General features: G+C 44.8%; 1 protein-coding gene across 1 annotated transcript in view, besides 4 other annotated features; it reads left to right on the forward strand.

Annotated features, from left to right (window-relative positions):
* Positions 7,522-8,141: a silencer, noted in NCBI's record as "silent region_17756". NCBI's record gives its function as "represses an Ori minimal core promoter by ATAC-STARR-seq in GM12878 lymphoblastoid cells {active_cell/tissue: GM12878}" and the evidence as "EXISTENCE:reporter gene assay evidence [ECO:0000049][PMID:35858748]".
* Positions 7,961-18,186, forward strand: part of IGF2R (insulin like growth factor 2 receptor) — a 142,423-nt gene continuing 132,197 nt past the window's right edge. Inside the window, exon 1 of the mRNA NM_000876.4 lies at positions 7,961-8,274. Coding sequence (NP_000867.3) covers positions 8,126-8,274 — 149 coding nt within the window. The 5' untranslated portion in view covers positions 7,961-8,125. The remainder of the gene's footprint in view (positions 8,275-18,186) is intronic.
* Positions 8,152-8,431: a silencer, noted in NCBI's record as "silent region_17757". NCBI's record gives its function as "represses an Ori minimal core promoter by ATAC-STARR-seq in GM12878 lymphoblastoid cells {active_cell/tissue: GM12878}" and the evidence as "EXISTENCE:reporter gene assay evidence [ECO:0000049][PMID:35858748]".
* Positions 8,452-8,581: a silencer, noted in NCBI's record as "silent region_17758". NCBI's record gives its function as "represses an Ori minimal core promoter by ATAC-STARR-seq in GM12878 lymphoblastoid cells {active_cell/tissue: GM12878}" and the evidence as "EXISTENCE:reporter gene assay evidence [ECO:0000049][PMID:35858748]".
* Positions 16,877-17,867: an enhancer, noted in NCBI's record as "H3K27ac-H3K4me1 hESC enhancer chr6:160399030-160400020 (GRCh37/hg19 assembly coordinates)". NCBI's record gives its function as "activates a minimal SCP1, AML or CMV promoter by ChIP-STARR-seq in primed H9 embryonic stem cells {active_cell/tissue: H9 hESC(primed)}" and the evidence as "EXISTENCE:reporter gene assay evidence [ECO:0000049][PMID:30033119]".

Consider the following 18,186-nt stretch of genomic DNA (forward strand, 5'->3'; position numbering starts at 1 on the left):
GGATCTAATGGGTTTTATTTATTCTGAGCTCTTTGACTCGGCTGGTATGGAACTTTAAAAATAAGGAAACTGAGGCACACAACTTGAGTTAGATAATGGTTTGTTTAAAAGGACACCGTACATTTCCCTGTCTTCTCACTTACACGAGGCGGTCTTGGCTCCCCAGCTGGAGAACTTAAGTAATGAATGTCTGTAATTAATCTGGGGACTTTTCTTGTAAACACCAACCTAAAAGTGATATTTTTGGTGGTATTGTTCACATCACTGCCACCACCATCATTTCCACATGTGCTTCTCATAACTGAGCTCCACACAGTCTCCAAATGGTAATTCACCAAAACTTTCTCTTTCCTCTTGGCTCCTGTAAATCCCCTTGGTTCTCTTTCTATGTCTCTGCTCCTTTTCTAGAGAATTTTCTCTTAATCATAACTGTGGTGCTCTTCAAGTGTGGCAAGTTGTGCTTTCCAAAGATAGCCACACCTGGATATTTATTCTGTTTCACATGTTCTTCTTATGATGTGAGTAGCCCTCCCCCATTGAGAGCTAGAGTCTAGGTTTCCTCTTTTTGAAGCTGGGTAGGGCTTGGTGACTGTCCTGATCACAATGGCAAAATTGGTGTCCTGTGATCCAAGAATGAGTCATAAGAAGGATGTAGCTTCCACCTCGCTTACTCTTCCTTCTCTCTCCTTTTGCTTGACTTGGAACCCAGCTACCACAGCTGAAGAAACTCCGGCCACATGTGGAGGCTATATGCAGGCATTCCAGCTAAGGTCTCAGCTGACAGCCAGCACCAACCATCAAATGTGCAAGTGAAAATCTTTCAGATGATACCAGTTTCCATCCTTCAAGTCTTAAAGCTGAGGGCCCAGAAGTCTTAAAACAGAAATGAGCCATTCCGACTGGACCCTGTCTAAATTCCTGACCCCATTAATTCTCACTAGTGAGAATTAATAAATGATGGTTGTTGTGTTACACCACTGGATTTGAGGGTAATTTATTACACACTGATAGACAGTTAATACTAAGAGCCTATTTTCTCTTTTGTTCTCTCCCTGGCAATTTCTTTCACTATGCCAATGTCTTGTTATCCTTCTCATCACCTTCCTCCCAAGTCAACTCTCCCATCTTTGCAAGTGCCTCCCCATAATTACATTCAATGCAGGCTTCCTGCCTGTGTTCAGTGTTGCATTACCAGTTGTCTAGTGGTCACCTCTGAATACCTAGACTTGCTATTGCACAAAAAGATACTTAGCGTCTTGCTCCTCAGATTCATTTCTCTTCTGTTTTCTCTGTTCTCTGGAACCAATCTACCTGTCTACAAGCGTTGATCATCATTGACTCTTTCTTTCCTGTCTGTCCTACCCAACAGGTTGCTAAGTGCTGCATTGGGTCAGTTGGTATGATTTTGGCTGCAAGAAATACAAAAGTTAGCTAATCATGGTGTGGCATTTTGGGGCCAATCAGGAGGTAGAAACAGGGGAGTCTTAATATAAATAATTACTAACTATGATGAAGGAGTAACTGTAAGATGTAAGAAAACTCTACATAGTCCCTCAGGCTGACGGAGAGGACTCAAGGAATGACAAGCCTTCAGATCTGAAGGCATTCAGATTTCATGGGAAAAGGTTTGTTTCCATTTATTGGATAGCAGACTGGCCAGGCTGGAGCTGGCCTGCACTAGTATGCAAGTTGGGGAGCAGGTGGTCAGCACCTCATGGTATGGATGTCCTGGGAACAGCAGGAGAATCTCTTCTGCAGTTTGCCTCCAGTGTCCTCTGCTCAGAAAGCTTAATGTCATTTAGTTGAAAGGAGAACTGCTTAAATGGATTCCTTTATCACAGAGCATATACTAGAAGATGCATTCAAAGCAGAGAGGCAATACATTAATAACACATGCACTTGGCTTAGGCATATTTATTTATTCTATCACAAAACAAAAGATCGGATACAAGAGTTTTGGTGAAGTGGACCAGTGTCATTCAGGATCCTGATGTCTTCCGTCTTGTTCCCACTGTGTTGGCCACATTTTCCCTCACAGTTATGAGGGGACAGCAGTTTCATATAGAAATTACTGCATCCAGACAACAAAAAAACACAAAAGGGGAAGGGATTTCTGTTTTGCAACTCTTTTTATTGGAGAGAAAGCATTTTGCAGAAGATCTCAGGAGACTTCCCATCGAGTTCCATCATCAGGACTGGGTCATACGCCCTTGCTCTGGCTGTAAGAATGTCTGGGAAGTGAGAATCTCACACCCACAGCCTCTGGTGGAGGTGGGCTTTGCCAGCAATCAAGGGCATGAGATGCCTGCAGGAAGGCAGCCAACCACACCTGCCTCATGCCTCTAACCCTATTCCCCTCTAAATTCCCATGCCAAAGCCTTAGGGCATTATCTTTGATAGTTACCTGGCCAGGTGTTAACTAACTGGGAACTGGGTGTTTTTGAAGGACACAAGGCTTTCTGCTGTCGAATTTGTCACCTTAATTGTGATACTTTTAATAAATTAGCTTCCAGTCTATCTTAAAACCAGATGGATTTTCCTGATGTGTCACCGTGAACATCTCTCTTTCTCCAAATCTCTCAATGAGGAGGCAGTTGATGAGTTAACTGCATGGGCTTTGGTCCCAGATCATACAGCTCACATCCAAGCGCTGTCACTTACCAACTGCATGACCTTGGGCAAGGTATATAATTTCTTTATGACTGAATTGCTCATCTTTTCAAGGAGGGTAATAAAATTACCTATTTGGTGGGATTGGTATTAACAGTAAATGATATAATACAGGAATGGTATTGACAGTGAGCCTTCAGTATGTATTATTGTATCTGCTGTTATTGTTCCCTACTTCATATCCAGCCAAATCTAAGCTTATTAGATGACCATTTAAGATCCTCTAGGAGCTGGGCACAATAAAAATTTTCAAACTTATATAAAAATTGACTACGTCCTAAACTGCGAGCTCCTTGAGGGAGGGATTATATTTTATGAGCCCAGGATCTAGCACAGTTTTTGGCCAAAAGTAGTTTTTCTTTATTCCCATGTGACTTTTGCTTAAGCAAAAGGCCTTGTACAGCAAATACAGCTTCTGTATTTTACCATGGCCTTGCACTTGCTGTTCTTTGTGCCTACAATGTCCTTTCCCTAAATTTCCCCCATTCTTCCAGATTCACTCAAAAGCAATCTCTTTCATGATGAGATCTCTTTCCCAATTCTCATTTTGAAAAATGTCAAACCTATAGAAAAGTTGAAAGAATAGTACAAGAGCACTGATATATTCTTCACTACATTTGTGACTGTTAATATTTTTAACCTCTGCTTGCTATTCATACATATATTCTTTTTTTCCCCTGAAATCATTTGAAAGTTGCCAACATCATGACACTTCACTTTCAGCATGTATCACATAAGAACAAGCACATCGTCCTATGTAATCACAGTAGCTTTATCTTATGAAATTTAACATTGATTCAATATTATTTACTGTACATTTTTTCTTGGCAGTTTATGATCTTAGAAATCAAGAAGCCTAAAATGAATCACTGTGTGTTTTGAGGGTCTTTTGGTAGAATCATGTTCCTTTCTGGGTGTTCTAAAAAGTTCCTGGATCTTTGGGGTGAGATTCTGTTTGAGTTTCAGAACAATGTGTGCATGCCATCAGTTTGATAGCTCATGGTTTGTGTTCCAAAGGGGCAGCTATTAGTGTTACCTGTCCCTGCTATTGCTCTTGACATCATGCAGGGACATCCTCAGTAGCTGCTCTTTCTGCCCTTGGTCTGTCATTTGAGCTTGTGTTTCCAAAGTCAGATGCAGGAAGATTGGGTCCTCACAACAGGGCGGTGGTTGGAGCACCTGGATGCCAAGCCTGGATCTGTCCTATCATTTGAGGGACATTTGTGTTCTTGGCTATTTGTGTTCTTAGGCTGCCATAACAAAGTACCTCTGGGTGGCTTAAAATGACAGAAATTGTCTCACACAGTTCTGGAGGCCGGAAGTCCAAAACCAAGGCATTGGCAGGGTCACGCTCCCTCTGAAGGCTCTAGGGGAGAATCTGTTCCATGCCTTTGTCCCAGCTTCTGGTGTTGCTGGCAATCCTTGGTGTTCCTTGGCTTGTAGATGCATAGCACCTCCATTCTCATATGGCTGCCTTCTCCTTGTGTGTTTCTTGCCCACTTCTTGAAAGTACACCAGTCATACTGGATTAAGAACCCACCCTACTCTAGTATAACCTCATCATAATTTATCCATAAGGAATGACCCTATTTTCAAATAAGGTCACACTTGAAGTACTGGGGGTTATGAGTTCAACGTATTCTTTTAGGGGACACAATTCAGCCTATAACAGGGGGTCTTAGGCTGATATCTGTGAGTCTCTGCTTCCTCAAAGGTTTTTCAGAAAATTTAAATGAAATACAGGAGAATTATGCCCTGCAGTATTTGACTTTACAGCAGGAGTCCCCCAACCCTCCGGGCCATGGACTTGTACTGGTCTGTGGCCTGTTAGGAACCTGGCCGCACAGCAGGAGAACGAGGGCATTACCGCTGAGCTCCGCCTCCTGTCAGATAAGTGGTGGTGCAAACCCTATTGTGCATGAGAGGGGTCTAGGGTGGACTGTCCTTGTGATGCCTGATGAAACATCCCCCACAACAGCCCTCCACCATCCATGGAAAAATTGTCTTCCACGAAATTGGTGCCTGGTGCCAAAAGGTTGGGGACTGCTGCTTTAAAGTCCCTTATATAGGATTTACATTAAAAATTTTCCAGTGGTCTCCAAATGTCCCTTATACCTTCCTATTTTTGGGTCTAGGCTCCAAGTAAGAATCACGCATTGCATTTTGTCATGCCTTTTTAGTCTCCTTTAATTTAGGACAATGGTTCTCAAACTTCCATGTGTATGAGAATCTCCTGGAGAGCTTGCTAGAGCAATCTCCTGGTGCCAAACTTCCACGTTTATGAGAATCTCCTGGAGAGCTTGCTAGAGCAATCTCCTGGTGCCAAACTTCCACGTGTATGAGAATCTCCTGGAGAGCTTGCTAGAGCAATCTCCCGGTGCCAAACTTCCATGTGTATGAGAATCTCCTGGAGAGCTTGCTAGAGCAATCTCCTGGTGCCCATCTCCAGAGATTTTCATTCAATAGGTTGAGGCAGGACCCATGAAATGGCATTTCTAACAAGCTGGTAGGTGACACAAAAGTTGCTTGTCTAAGGACCGCACTTTTGAAAACCACTGATCTAGAACAGAGGTTGGCAAGCTTTTTCTGCGGAGGGCCATATGGTAAAATATGTTAGCATTTTCAGGTCATACAGTCTCTGTTGCAACGACTCAACTGTGTCATTGCAGGCAAAAGCAGCCCTAGATAATACATAAACACATGGGTGTGGCCGTATTCCCACAAAACTTTATTTACAAAACAGCTGCCTTACCACATTTGACCCACAGGTTATTGCTTGCTACATGGATTTAGAGTAGCACTTCCACTTTTTTTCTCTTTTTTTTTTTGGAGGAGAGTTGTTTTTTCAGCGCATTAATATTTTGCAATAGTCCAGTTCAGTTTTCTTGTCATATGTTTCACAGTTTGAATTTGATTGTTTTATCTCAATTAGATTAAGTTGAACTTCTTGGCAAGACTACTTGTGATAGTGTGTACGGTAGGGAATAACTGTGAAAGACTTTGAAATGGACCAAAAATATTAGTGGTCAACTGTAATGGAATGCTAGCTGTTTAGTACAGTCTTTTGGGTTATCTGATTCTATGGGGTCTTGTGTCTGCCACTGTCTTTGAGGTATTTTACAACTCTGTAAATTGTAGACTACTGATGGTAATATACACGATTTTTGTCTTTAGAAATGCAAATTGTGTCTATTGCGTACGCAGCTGTTTTTTGACCTATGGTTACTGACCAATTTTCCATCTATAGACAACCTTATTTCAGCATTCCTAACTGCTTGAATATTTGTTGGATTCTCCTTGGATTTTCCTTTGAACCAGCTGTGACATGTTACCGGTTCTCACATTAATGAATGAGCTAAGGAATACCTTTGATACATGTTCATTCTACATCTGAGTCATGATTATACCATCTTTTAAATATTACCCTTTAGCATTTTTTATTGCATCACTTTAGAAAGCAGAAAATGCTAGTTTTTTAAAAATTGGTGATACTAGTTTTAATTACTTGATTAAGGTGGTTCTACCAGATCTTTCCATTGTGAAGAGGTATTTTGTGTTTTTTAAGGAAGTATACTTTGAAGGTGATACTTTGAGACAAAGAGAATATTCCGCTTCACAATAATTTTTCACCAGATGGTTTTAGTATTTACTGATGGTCTTTGCCTGTATCCATTATAACACTGGAGTTGCAAAACACAAACCCTTTTTCTTTTTTTTTTTTTTTGAGATGGAATCTCGCTCTGTTTCCCAGGCTGGAGTGCAGTGGCACGATCTCTGCTCACTGCAACCTCTGCCTCCTGGGTTCAAGCGATTCTCCTGCCTCAGCCTCCCGAGTAGCTGGGACTACAGGCGTGTGCCACCACGCCCGGTTAATTTTTTGTATTTTTAGTAGAGATGGGATTTCACTGTGTTAGCCAGGATGGTCTCGATCTCCTGACCTTGTGATCCGCCCGCCTTGGCCTCCCAAAGTGCTGGGTTTACAGTCGCGAGCCACCGCGCCCGGTCACCACAAACCCTTTTTCGACGTCCACAGTTTACACCTGAGCTCTCCCTTTGACCCACTACAACACTTTCTTTTCTTGGGCAATATATTAATAGCACGGTGGTTATGTCACAGGCCTGTGACTGGCTTGGGCTCAAACCCGGGCTTTTTCACTTACTAGCTGCAAGACTAACTAGTTATTTAATTTCTCCATTCCTCACTTTCCTTATCTGCAAAACGGATGCAATAAAGGCACCCCCTCTTACAGGACTGTTAGGATTAAATGAGCTAAATCACAGTGTCCGAACACTTCAGTACTTCGTACATAATTACTTGCTCAAGAAATGTTAGCTATTATTGGGTCATGATTATTTATATGTGTTTGAATTCCAGCTTTGCCACATCCCAGAGTGTCTTTGAGTAAGTCACTGAGTATCCTTGTGCCTCAATTCCTCATCTATAAGTAGGTTCCCATCTCATAGGTTTTTAAAGATTCATGCTTACATGCTTAGCAGTGTCTGGTATGGAATAAGCACTAAAAAAGATGAGCTTTTATGATGATGATGATTACTATTTTCAGTCATGATTATTTTGTATATTTACTCTAAAAGAAAGTGAATTTTTTTAGTTCAAGACTTTTAGATTCATCGTTCTACTTTCATTGTGGCTAGCTCATGGCCATCCACGTAGTGAATTAATAAAGCTTTGTTGAGTGGCACTTGCTTGACAGCGACACTTTTGTCCACTCTTTCACCTTGCTGGATTTGTGCTGCCTTCCTTGCTGTAGGAAGCCCACGCTTGGGAAATAACATTCCCACAGAAGGTCTGAGAGGCTCTGACGGGCCAAGGTTGTAAACCCCCATGATTTGACTCCACGGGCAGTTAAAGTGTGTTCCCACCCCCCACGGATCCGCTGCCACTAGGCTGTGCGAAGGCATTTACCTCCCTGGCACTTTGATCCAAGTTCCCTATTTTCCCCTACTGGTCGATCGAGGTTGGGAACAGTTGCTCTAACCTGGGAAGCACCCGCCACGATCCAGCAGGGCGCGGTGGGAGGGGAAACTGAGGCCCGGCTAGGCACCCCCGCCGCGCCCAGCCCGCCGAGAGGCTCAGGCCCCGGGAGGCACCTGGAGCCTGCGCCCCGCCCGCGCCGCTTCCTGTCCCGCGCGCTGCGCTCACGTGACCCGGGCCTGGGAGGAGCCGGGGCGGGCGGGGGTCACCTGAACAAGGGAGTCACGTGAGCGGGGGGCGGGGGTGGGGGGGCGGTGCCGGGCGGCTGTCACGTGACGCGGTTCCGGGGCCGCCGCTGCCGCTGTCGCTGTCGCCGAGCCCAGTCGAGCCGCGCTCACCTCGGGCTCCCGCTCCGTCTCCACCTCCGCCTTTGCCCTGGCGGCGCGACCCCGTCCCGGGCGCGGCCCCCAGCAGTCGCGCGCCGTTAGCCTCGCGCCCGCCGCGCAGTCCGGGCCCGGCGCGATGGGGGCCGCCGCCGGCCGGAGCCCCCACCTGGGGCCCGCGCCCGCCCGCCGCCCGCAGCGCTCTCTGCTCCTGCTGCAGCTGCTGCTGCTCGTCGCTGCCCCGGGGTCCACGCAGGCCCAGGCCGCCCCGTTCCCCGAGCTGTGCAGGTGGGTGGCCCGCCCGGACGCAGGCTCCGCTCGCGGTGCCCGGGGTGAGCGGCCGGCGTGGGGGGCGGGGAGCGCTCGAGGAGCTCCTGGGGTCTCCAAGTCGCCTCCGTTCCGCGCCGGGGTCCGCCCCGTTCCCGAGGGAAAGTTGCCTGCGTGGTGTCCGCGAGTCCCGCCGGGTCCCGTGCGCAGGCGGGGGGCGCGGGGGCACACGCGGTCGTGGCGGTCCTGGAGCCCCGCGTCCGGCCACTTGTGGCTGTCGCTGAGTCGGGGGTGGCTTTGTGCGGAGCGGTCGCCCCGGCCCTTGGGGTCGGCGCCTGCCCTCGCGCGGCCGGGCGTCCGGGAAAGTTGGAGGCAGGAACTCCAGTTTGCTTTGTTCCCGCTGCGCGTTTGCATCAGAGTTTCGCCAGCGGGGCACCGGTGAGGCCCCTCGGTGTGGAGAGGCTCACCGGGGCGTTGGAGCCCGCAGGAATGGTCCTGGAGTTGAGTGTTTGTGGTTTCATTTGCTGATTGATTTCCCCCCGTGGGCTCATTTTCTCTTTAAAGAATATATATATATATATATTTTTAGCAGGCGGTGACTTTTGTCTTCTTTAGATTGGGGGCAGGGGGTGTCGTCCAGTGTGAGCTTTCAAGACTTGACCCTTCACTTCTCTGAGCCCAACTTCCTGCCTGGTTGCTCACATGATGTCATTGTCTCCGGGGCGGATTATTCTAGTGGATCTTGCTCTGGGAACCATGATTGTATAACCCATCAGTCCCATCGAGGGCTGTTCACCTCGCGCAACTGCTAGCAGTCCAGGGCCTGGGGAACTTCGAATTTCAGGAATTTTCTGACCATCCTTTTCTGGACTGTTTAGGATGATGGAAAATTCAGCTTTTGTTTATTTTTTTAAACTTTGGTAAAAAGGAAGCAGGATGAAAAGTTTTGAACAGACAACAGTTTCTCCCTGTTACTGTTACTTTTACAAGTTACTTTTACAAGTTACTTTTCAGAGTGAAACAAAGTTGAGCCTACTTTGGGCTGAACTTGGAGTTTGTGGTAGGGTTTATGGGGGGGGTTCTTATTTTTCCCATGCATCAGAGATAGTTTTATTAGCACCCCTGTGTTCAGAACATGCAGAAATTAGTCTAAGGAGGGTGAGGCTGATCTCACGATAGAAACTCTTTGGAAAGGCCCATATTTTTTATGCTCCCTTTTTTGGAAGGGGAAGGGTGGATGGAGGGAGAGTTTGTGACACTAGTTTAAAGACCAGTTAGCTACCCTAAGATACATAGTTACTCCAGTAACTAGTATGATACAGAGAAATGGTGGCAGCTTAAACGAGGTCAGGCTGAGAACAACATTTAGAGGAAGGCATTTTGGAATAATGGCTTCTGTGACCAAAAATAAGAAATTAACTCGCCTGGGCGCGGTGGCTCATGCCCGGAATCCAGCACTTTGGAAGGCCGAGGTGGGCGGGTCACTTGAGTCCAGGAGTTGGAGGCCAGCTTCAGCAACATGGCGAAACCCCGTCTCTACAAAAAATATGAAAATTAGAGCCGGGCGCGGTGGCACACTCCTGTCCTCCCAGTTAAGGGAGGCTGAGGTGGTAGGATAACGTTAGCCCCGCAGGTCGAGGTTGCAGTGAGTTGTGATCGAGTCGAGTTGCACTCTAGTCTGGGCGACAGAGCAAGGCCCTGTCTCAAAAATAAATAAATAAATACAATAAGAAATTAACCCAGCTGGCCTAGTGTGGTTGAAGTCTTGGTCTTGTTAACAAATTGAAGTTTGTTTTCTTCACAGTTAAGATTAAGGTGGCTTCAAGGGCAGACTGATACTTTGGCTGATTGATGGGACCCTTACTTTTGCATTAGGTTAGTCATGGCAGTGTCTTGAACCTGTGTTCACGAACTTCATCTCCAGGTGGAACACGGCCTCTTGGTCTAGTAGGAATGGCCTTTGTATCTTTACGTTTTTCTGGCCACTGTCACACGTGGGCATACTTAGCAAATGCTGAAGAGGTTTCTGAGGTTGATATGCATTGTGAATATAATAAGATCTGCCCTTTGTAGTCTTAGAATATCTTAAAAGTTGTGTTTAATTTTTCTGCCAGATTTTCTTAGGATGACAAATCTGCCAATCATTTCAGAGACGGATTTTCACCCACCTCTTTCCCTGTTACTTCCCTGTAGTTGCACATGCAGACTTCTCCAGAACCACTTGCAATCTCTACTTTAAACCCAACATGTGCCAAGTGAACTTCCTGTCTGTTCCTGTTTTATAATTTTTTGAGGCAGGGTCTCACCGCGTTGCCCAGGCAGAAGTGCAGTGGTGCAGTCATAGCTCACTACAGTCGTGAACTCCTGGGCTCAGGCAGTCCTTCCACCTCACCCTTCTGTGTAGCTGGGATTACAGGTGTGTGCCACCCCACTTGGCTTATTATATATTTTTTAAAATTTTTAATAGAGATGACGTCTTGCTATGTTGCCCAGGCTGGCCTCAAGCTCCTATCCTCAAGTAATCTTCCTGCGTCAGCCTCCCAAAGTGTTGGGATTACAGGCATGAGGCACCATGCTGGGTTTATGTTCCTGTTTTAAACTGATACCTCTCCTTAAATACTTTTTGAAAACTTTTCTTGGGGCGGGGGAGGTTATCAGTCATCTGTACTTTTATGAGATAAAACTGGCTAAAATTTCCGTAAATGTAGCATGTAGTTGAGGAATAGGAATGTAAGTTGATTTTTTTTTTAATTTGATACAAAAAATTTTATCGTGTCACCAAGGTGTGACGTGTTAAGCTCCATTTTAATTTTGTTCCTGGGCATCAGTTTGCTGAAATGTAAATAACTCGGCCAGGTCTCCACTGTGAGCATGAAAAGTCGAGTCCTACAAATGTCCCCGTTTGTTTTTGCTGCTTGGTCACATGGAGGCAGTCCCAAATGTACAGAAGGATCACATTCCAAATGTTTGTAAATTGGTAATTTCATACGTGGAATGTGTTTTTCCATTGATAGTATTCTTGTTCATTGTATGGCCCCCAGAAAGTCATTATCCTTGCAAAGGTTTTGGAGCACCCAGACACCATATGGCTTTAACAGAATCCTAGCCGTAAATTCTCATTGTCTCTAAAAGATGGAGTTGGATTTCCAGGAAAACTACCTCTCCTCCCAAGCCCAGCTCTCTAGAACCTAGAGAGAATATTTTTCATCTGCAGTCGCTTAGACCCACAAGAGGGACATGAGGGCCTGCTTCAGGGGTGCCTGCGAGGCACCTTGTGGGGGCAAAGCTTCAAGGTGACCTTTGGCTCTGAGCACTCCTGGGATGGGGTGCGGTTCCTGGTGCAGTTAGTTATTGGGAGGAACGAAGGAGACAGCACCATTTCAGCAGCAGCTTTAACTGTGTCCGTGCACGTGGAGGGGCCTGCCCTCTGAGTTGTGCATTGAACAGCAGGCACGACAAAGGCTCATTTCCCAAAGTGTATCTGGCTTGAAGCAGCGCTTTAAATAAGTGCATGGTTTTTTTTGGAGAGACTCAGCAAAGCATTTTTCAAGTGTCAAGTGGATTACTTGCCAGGTGGTCCCAGTGCTGAGTTAGAAGTTAATGATTCTTATGCAGGTATTTCTTGGGAGGTGATATTGCTAGTACAAAGTTAGTAGAAAACTTGTTTCTGAGGCTAGTGTGATAGGCTGTGGGACTGGCCTGTAGAAAAGACCTGGGGCAGGAAGGAGTGTTGAAGGTCAGTGGAGGGCGGGAATAGTAGAGCAAGAAGAGAGGGCATTCAGGAGGAGAGGAGCAGAGGCCAGGCCATGCAAAACCAACAACAGTGTCTAAAGTGATCTCAGCTTGTCAGTGGCTTTACTTATTACCATATGCTTTAAACTTTGTAAAATGTCATATTATATATGTAATATGCAAGTTTCCACCCTTTAGTTAGGTGTTAACAAGATGCTTAATGGGTGAGGTCTTAGCAGTGTGCATTAATGATAAAATAATGCTTTGGGATGGTTAGATTTAAGGTAGTTAAGAGCTTCAAAATTTGTACAGGACAAGTTTTCCCCAAATTGTTTAGGTATAAATGCTAGAAAGTTTTTATTATATTGAGGACAAGAGAATAATGAAGCCAGCTGGGAGTTGAGGTTGGTTTAGTTACTGTCTCTAAGGAGATTTTTTTTTCCCTGTAATTTTTCCAAAGGAACAGTGCTTATATGCCTAATTTGGGCCACATGTTAAACCTGGATCACATCCATTTGTGTGTGTGCATTTCAACAGTAAGTGTATGTGGAAGCCTAAGGTTGTTAATTATGGTTACATTAGATCTCATGGATTAATTCTCAGAACAGCATCCTGACAGATTCCCAGGAAATGAATGCCTGCGTTGGGCCTCACGTCTTTTGTCAGCATTTCATAGAGAGAGGGATTTTTAAAAGATGGGGCTGAGAGAAATAATTGAGATGTTCCCTTCCCTATTTTGATCTTGGTATATAAACTATTGTATTGGGGAAAGAACTGAGCAGGCTCTAGAACTGAGCCTAGTGGCAGAGAGTAGCTTATCACTTTGCAGGTGCTGTTCTTTTTCTTCCTCCTTTTCTTCTTTGGATTGTCCTAGCCACAGAGAGCTCTTGCTAATGTTGTAACTGGTCATGAATGGTGTATGAGGAGGTGGGCGTAGCAGCTGTTTGACTTCATGGGACCCACCAGACTGTAATGCCGAATTACAATTTTGCATTTCCACCAGTGATGTATGAGAGTTCCAGTTCTATATCCTTGTCAACACCTGTCAGTGTTAGGTTTAGCCATTCAAGTGGAGTTGTAATGGTATCTCAGTGTGGTTTCAGCTTTCATCTCTCTGCTGACTCATGATGTTGAGCAAGAAAGGAACATCTTTTCTTGTATTTATTGGAATCCTGGATGATGTTCACCATTATCATGTGCTTACTGACTGGGTATTTTTTGTAGTGTCCTTTAAAAATCATATTTTGTCCCTTTTACCCCTTAAAAATTGTTTTTGGGTTCTTCTCCTTATTGAGCTTTAGGAGCTCCTCATGTCTTCTGGGTACAAGTTCTTTCTTAGATATGTGTGAGGTATGAGTGTTTTCTTTCAGTCTTTGCCTTGCCTTTAAATTTTCTCAGTGATATCCTTTGAAGAACAGATTTAAAAAAATTTGATGGACTATAACTTTTTATGGTTTGTGCTTTTGGTAGCTTGAGAAATCAACCTTAAAACTAGTGACATTTGACCTGGGTAATTTTTTGTTTGGAGGGCTATCCTGGGCATTGTAGGATGTCAGCCAGCATTCCTGGCCTCTACTCACTAGATGCTAAGACTATACTCTACCACTCCCCCTCCCCCAGTGGTAACAAATAAAAATGTCTCCAGGCATATCAAAGGCCCTGGAGGGGAGGGGGCAAAATCACATCCAATTGAGAACCACTGGCCTACCCCAAGGTCTCAAAGATTTTCTCCTGTCTCTGCCTCTAGAAGTTTTTTGGTTTTAACTTTGATTCCTTAACTCTAGGATCAATTTTTGTGGTTTAATTTTTATATATGATGTTTGAAGAAAACTCAAACCATATTTTTCCTTTGCTCTCATTCCATGAACAGTCATCAACACAGAAGACCTCCGTAATCAAATGTGTGGTCGTTTTTCCCCAGGCACCAAGCAGTGACCCCTGGCCAATTCAATTCCTGACCCTGTCTACCTGGAGATAGTGTCAGATGCCACAGGTTTGGGGCTCAGTTCCCGAGACCGCTCCCCACCCCACACCAGTCACAAGTCCGGGCCTCTGGAACTTCTGACCAACTGGCTTCAATTTGGGGTTCCCAGAGTGCCTCTTTGGGTCTGATTAATTTGCTAGAGTGACTTACAGAACTCAGGAAAACACTGATGATTAGCAGTTTATGAGGATATTACAAGGGATACGGATGAAGAGATGTTTAGGGCGAGGTATTGGGGAAGGGGTGCGGAGCCTCTGTGACCTCCCTGGCTCACTACCCTCCAGGAATTGCCGTGCATTCAACTATTTGGAAGCTCCCCCAACCCAGTTTTTATGGAAGCTTCAGGAGGTCAGCATTTCTTCTCCCGGGTATAGGGTGGGACCCTCACTGGGGAGGATCTTAAGACCCACAGTCCAAAAGCAGGGAAGATGAGAGTCCTACCTTGGGGCAGGTGGAAGGAGGGGCAGGTGGAGAGATTGTTTCCTGAGGCCTGACACACCCAACATTATAACAAAAGACCAATACTAGGACTGTGGAAGTTGGCAGCCAGAAACCAGATGGGAAAAAAAAACCCATACATGTATTATATATATTTATATATATATATATATAAAGTATATGTATTGTGTATATATTATATAAGCATATTTATTATATATATATTATAGTGTATATTATATATGTATTATATATAATATATAATATATAGTTATATATAATATATACACACGCACATATATAAATAACACCACAAAAAGGGTAAAAGTTTATTTATTTCCATGAATATATCTAGTTCTGTTTACTAATACTTTATGAAATATGCTTACAGCTCTGTTTTTAAGTGAGATTGGGCTACAGTTTTTTTGCTCTGCTGTTCTTGATGGATTTTGTTATTAATAATATGTTTGCTTTGTGGAAGGAGCTAGTTAGCTTTTAGTATTTTTGTATGTGGTGAAACAGTTTGTATATAAGATGGACATTTTCTGTTTCTTAAAGTTTGGTAGAATTCACCAGTAAAACTATCTGGCCCTGGCAGGCTCTTAGGTGGAATATCATCGGGGAGGACTTTTGATTATGGTTTTTTCTAGTTTTATTTTCAGTTTTATCTAGTTTATTTTTCTATTCAGATTTTCTACTTTTTCTTGGGCCAATTTTGGTAATCTCTATTTTCCTAGAAAATTGTCATTTTAATTGTGTATTCATATTTAATAAGTAGCATGCTACTCTCATATTTTTGATACTCTATAGCTCTAGGTAAATTTTTAAAATTCCTGATGTTTACTTGTGTACTTTTTTCTTAATTATATTTACTAAAGACTTATTTACCTTTTTAAAGTCTTTCCAAAAGAACTAGTGTTTTGTTTTTTCATCTTTTCACCTTTTATTTGCAATTTTATTAATTTATCCACTCAGTAACTTCTACATCATTTTTCTGTTTCTCGTTTGACTTGAATGCTTAGCTCTTTTATTTTAAATCATTTTGCATAATTAAGAAATATATTTAAAGCTTCATGTTTCTTTCTTCGGAGTACCATACCACTCATAGATTCTGATACTTTTTTTTTTCTCCATATTTCAATTTTGTGTATTCCCTTTTTGGATTCAAAAGTTCTATCTGTTTCAACTTCCTGGACCCACTAAATTTTTAGATTTTTATTTTTTTCAGGTCCATGGACTTTGGGGGTTTTAAATTTATTTTTTCCATTGTGCGGGTAAATGTGGTGGAACTTACTGACATTTCCCTTGTGGCCTAACACCTAGTCAAGTTGGGAGGGTATTATGTGTTTGGAAAAAAAGTTCTCTGTTTGGGTCAAAGTTACTCATGGTGCTGTTCAGCTTTTCTTTGCCCTAACTCTTCTTCGGTTTGTCTGTTGCTTTTATTATTTGTATCTGGCTGCCGCTGTGGACAGGCATGTAGCTGGATGTCGTTTGCTGCTGTCGCCCAGCTTACCAGTTCTCCCATGGTTCAGATGTTCTTCTGCTTCCCTGTTGTCTTTTGTTGCAGAATCTCAGCTGATGTGTAGTCACAGCTGCCTGTTCTTTCTGCGTGGACGCTGTAGCTTCTGTCAACCCTCTGAAGATCTCTCTTAAAGTTCTGCTCTGATTGCTCTATTAATTATTTTTCCTTGGGCCCAGTTTCTTTGGTTTGAGTTTGTCACCATGATTGCATGGTGCTGGTGCCCTTGCAGTGACAGGTGACTCCTGACCGTGCACTCTGCAGTGGGTCTCCACCCGACCTTGGCTGCCTCCTTGTGCAGCTGCGTGGGGTAGGGCTGGGAGCAGTTGTTGGAATTTGGCTGTAAATTGTTTTCAGGGAGACTAGGGGATGGGCAGGATGTGCCTCTGTGGCTGTTCTTGGCGCTTTAGGTCCTTTCCACCCTCCCAATGTCACCCCCAAGCGCTGTTCTGCCAAGACACAGCTGCTAAACCCCTGTTGATTGCTGCTGGCAGCGTGTGGCCTGAGACGGGGGATCTGGATTGTTGAGTTGGCTGTGTCCAATCACTTCTTTTCTCTGGACCTCATTTTCCTCCTCAAGAGGGGTGGGACTTAGTTTTCTTTCTCTCTTTCCTATTTGAAAACCTCTCATTAGGGAGTTAGTTTTGGAAGTCACTTTCCTGGGCTTGAATCCAGACTCCTCCCCTCACAGGCCTTGGGCAAGTCACAGAACCTCTGAAGTCTTCCTTTCCGTGTGTGTCCAGTCAGGATGCTAACCATGTTTGTAGGCTAGGCGTGGGATGCTAACCGTGTTGTAGGCTAGGCGTGGGATGCTAACCGTGTTGTAGGCTAGGCGTGGGATGCTAACCGTGTTGTAGGCTAGGCGTGGGATGCTAACCGTGTTGTAGGCTAGGTGTGGGAATTGGAAGACATTTGAATGCCTGGCACGTCCTCGGTGTTCATTGGTGCTGTAGTGGTAGCAGTTGCTTTATCTGTAAGTTACAGATGCTGCCTTACATCAGGGATTTATTTTTATAACCTGTTTCTCGCCCTCCCAGAGCTCTCCATTAGTGTCTTGGGGTTTCTGCCTCAACCAGAGAGCATTTCTTCTTCATCTGTTTCATGATTGGCACTCCACGTAAGCTTCCTCATGAGAAAGAAAGGTTTCCACTGTTTAAAAAAGTTTCAAAGCCACTGGACTCCGTGATTTCCGGGTCCATTTTGCATCCCAAATTCTGCAGTTCTGAGGTTTGCAGCCTTGAGGAGTCCTTCCTCACTCAGATTCCCCCAAACAATGAGGAGCTTGATAATTCGAGGTGTGGAGTTTGGATGGGGGCCGGGGGTCACCCTCCTGCATGTGGTGGCTTGGTCCCAGGCTAGGCTGGGAGAAAGGGGGCTGTCGTGGTTCCAGGGCAAGAAGAGCCGTCCTCCCTGTTTCCCTGTGGTAGGATCAGGAAGTCTCAGCTAACTTCTGCACATGGTCAAGGGGGTCCTGTCCTCACTTAGGCCTCTCCAGGCCTCCCTGGAGGGTGGAGGAATGGGTGCTGTTGTAGGTGGGAACAGAAGTGTCCAGGCCAGTGGCTTGGATGTGAAAGTGCTTCATAAATTCCACCTTGCTGTGCAACTTAAAAAAAAAAAGTACGGTCGTTTAGGTTTTCGAGGTGCCCAAAGCAATGCGTCATAAGCCTATTTTTGTCTCCGTGTTAGCCAGGGCAGAGGGGCACTTTCCTGTGACTCCTCCAGGGTGGGGAAAATCCCAGGTGCTCTGTGAACCTGGCCGTTCAGCCAGCTGCAGACCTTTGGTAGGAGTTTTCTTTTTCCTTTTGTGTGCTTTTCGATCCCCTGGGGGCAACCATTATTCAGTACATCTGGAGGGCAAGTTGTCCAGGAAGAGGAAGCAGATCCTAGGAGTGTCGTCCTTCACTGGGAGAGGTGTAGGAAGTGAGGGGGATGGTGGAAGTACTGGCCCGAGCTCTGTTTTCAGGAGTGTGTGACAGCAAAAACTGGCCTTTGCAGTTGAGTTGCCTGTGGGCTATGGCCTAGAGGGAAGGCCAGGAGGGTCTTGCTGTTAGGGCTGCCACCTTCTTCATGCCTGCTGTGTGCTGGGAGGAGAGAGCTCCTTCAGAGCGGACCCACCATTGGATTTTGAGTGTGTGCAAAATTAACTTGTTGCTATCTGCATGGTTATCTGTACTCCAGAATCAGTTATACATTTTAAAACAGCTGTTTAGTACTGAAAAAACTCCCCCAACACTCCCTGCGCCCCACCCTGGCCTGCAAA

This window comes from Homo sapiens, chromosome 6, assembly GCF_000001405.40.
Source record: "Homo sapiens chromosome 6, GRCh38.p14 Primary Assembly".
Lineage (NCBI taxonomy): Eukaryota > Metazoa > Chordata > Mammalia > Primates > Hominidae > Homo > Homo sapiens.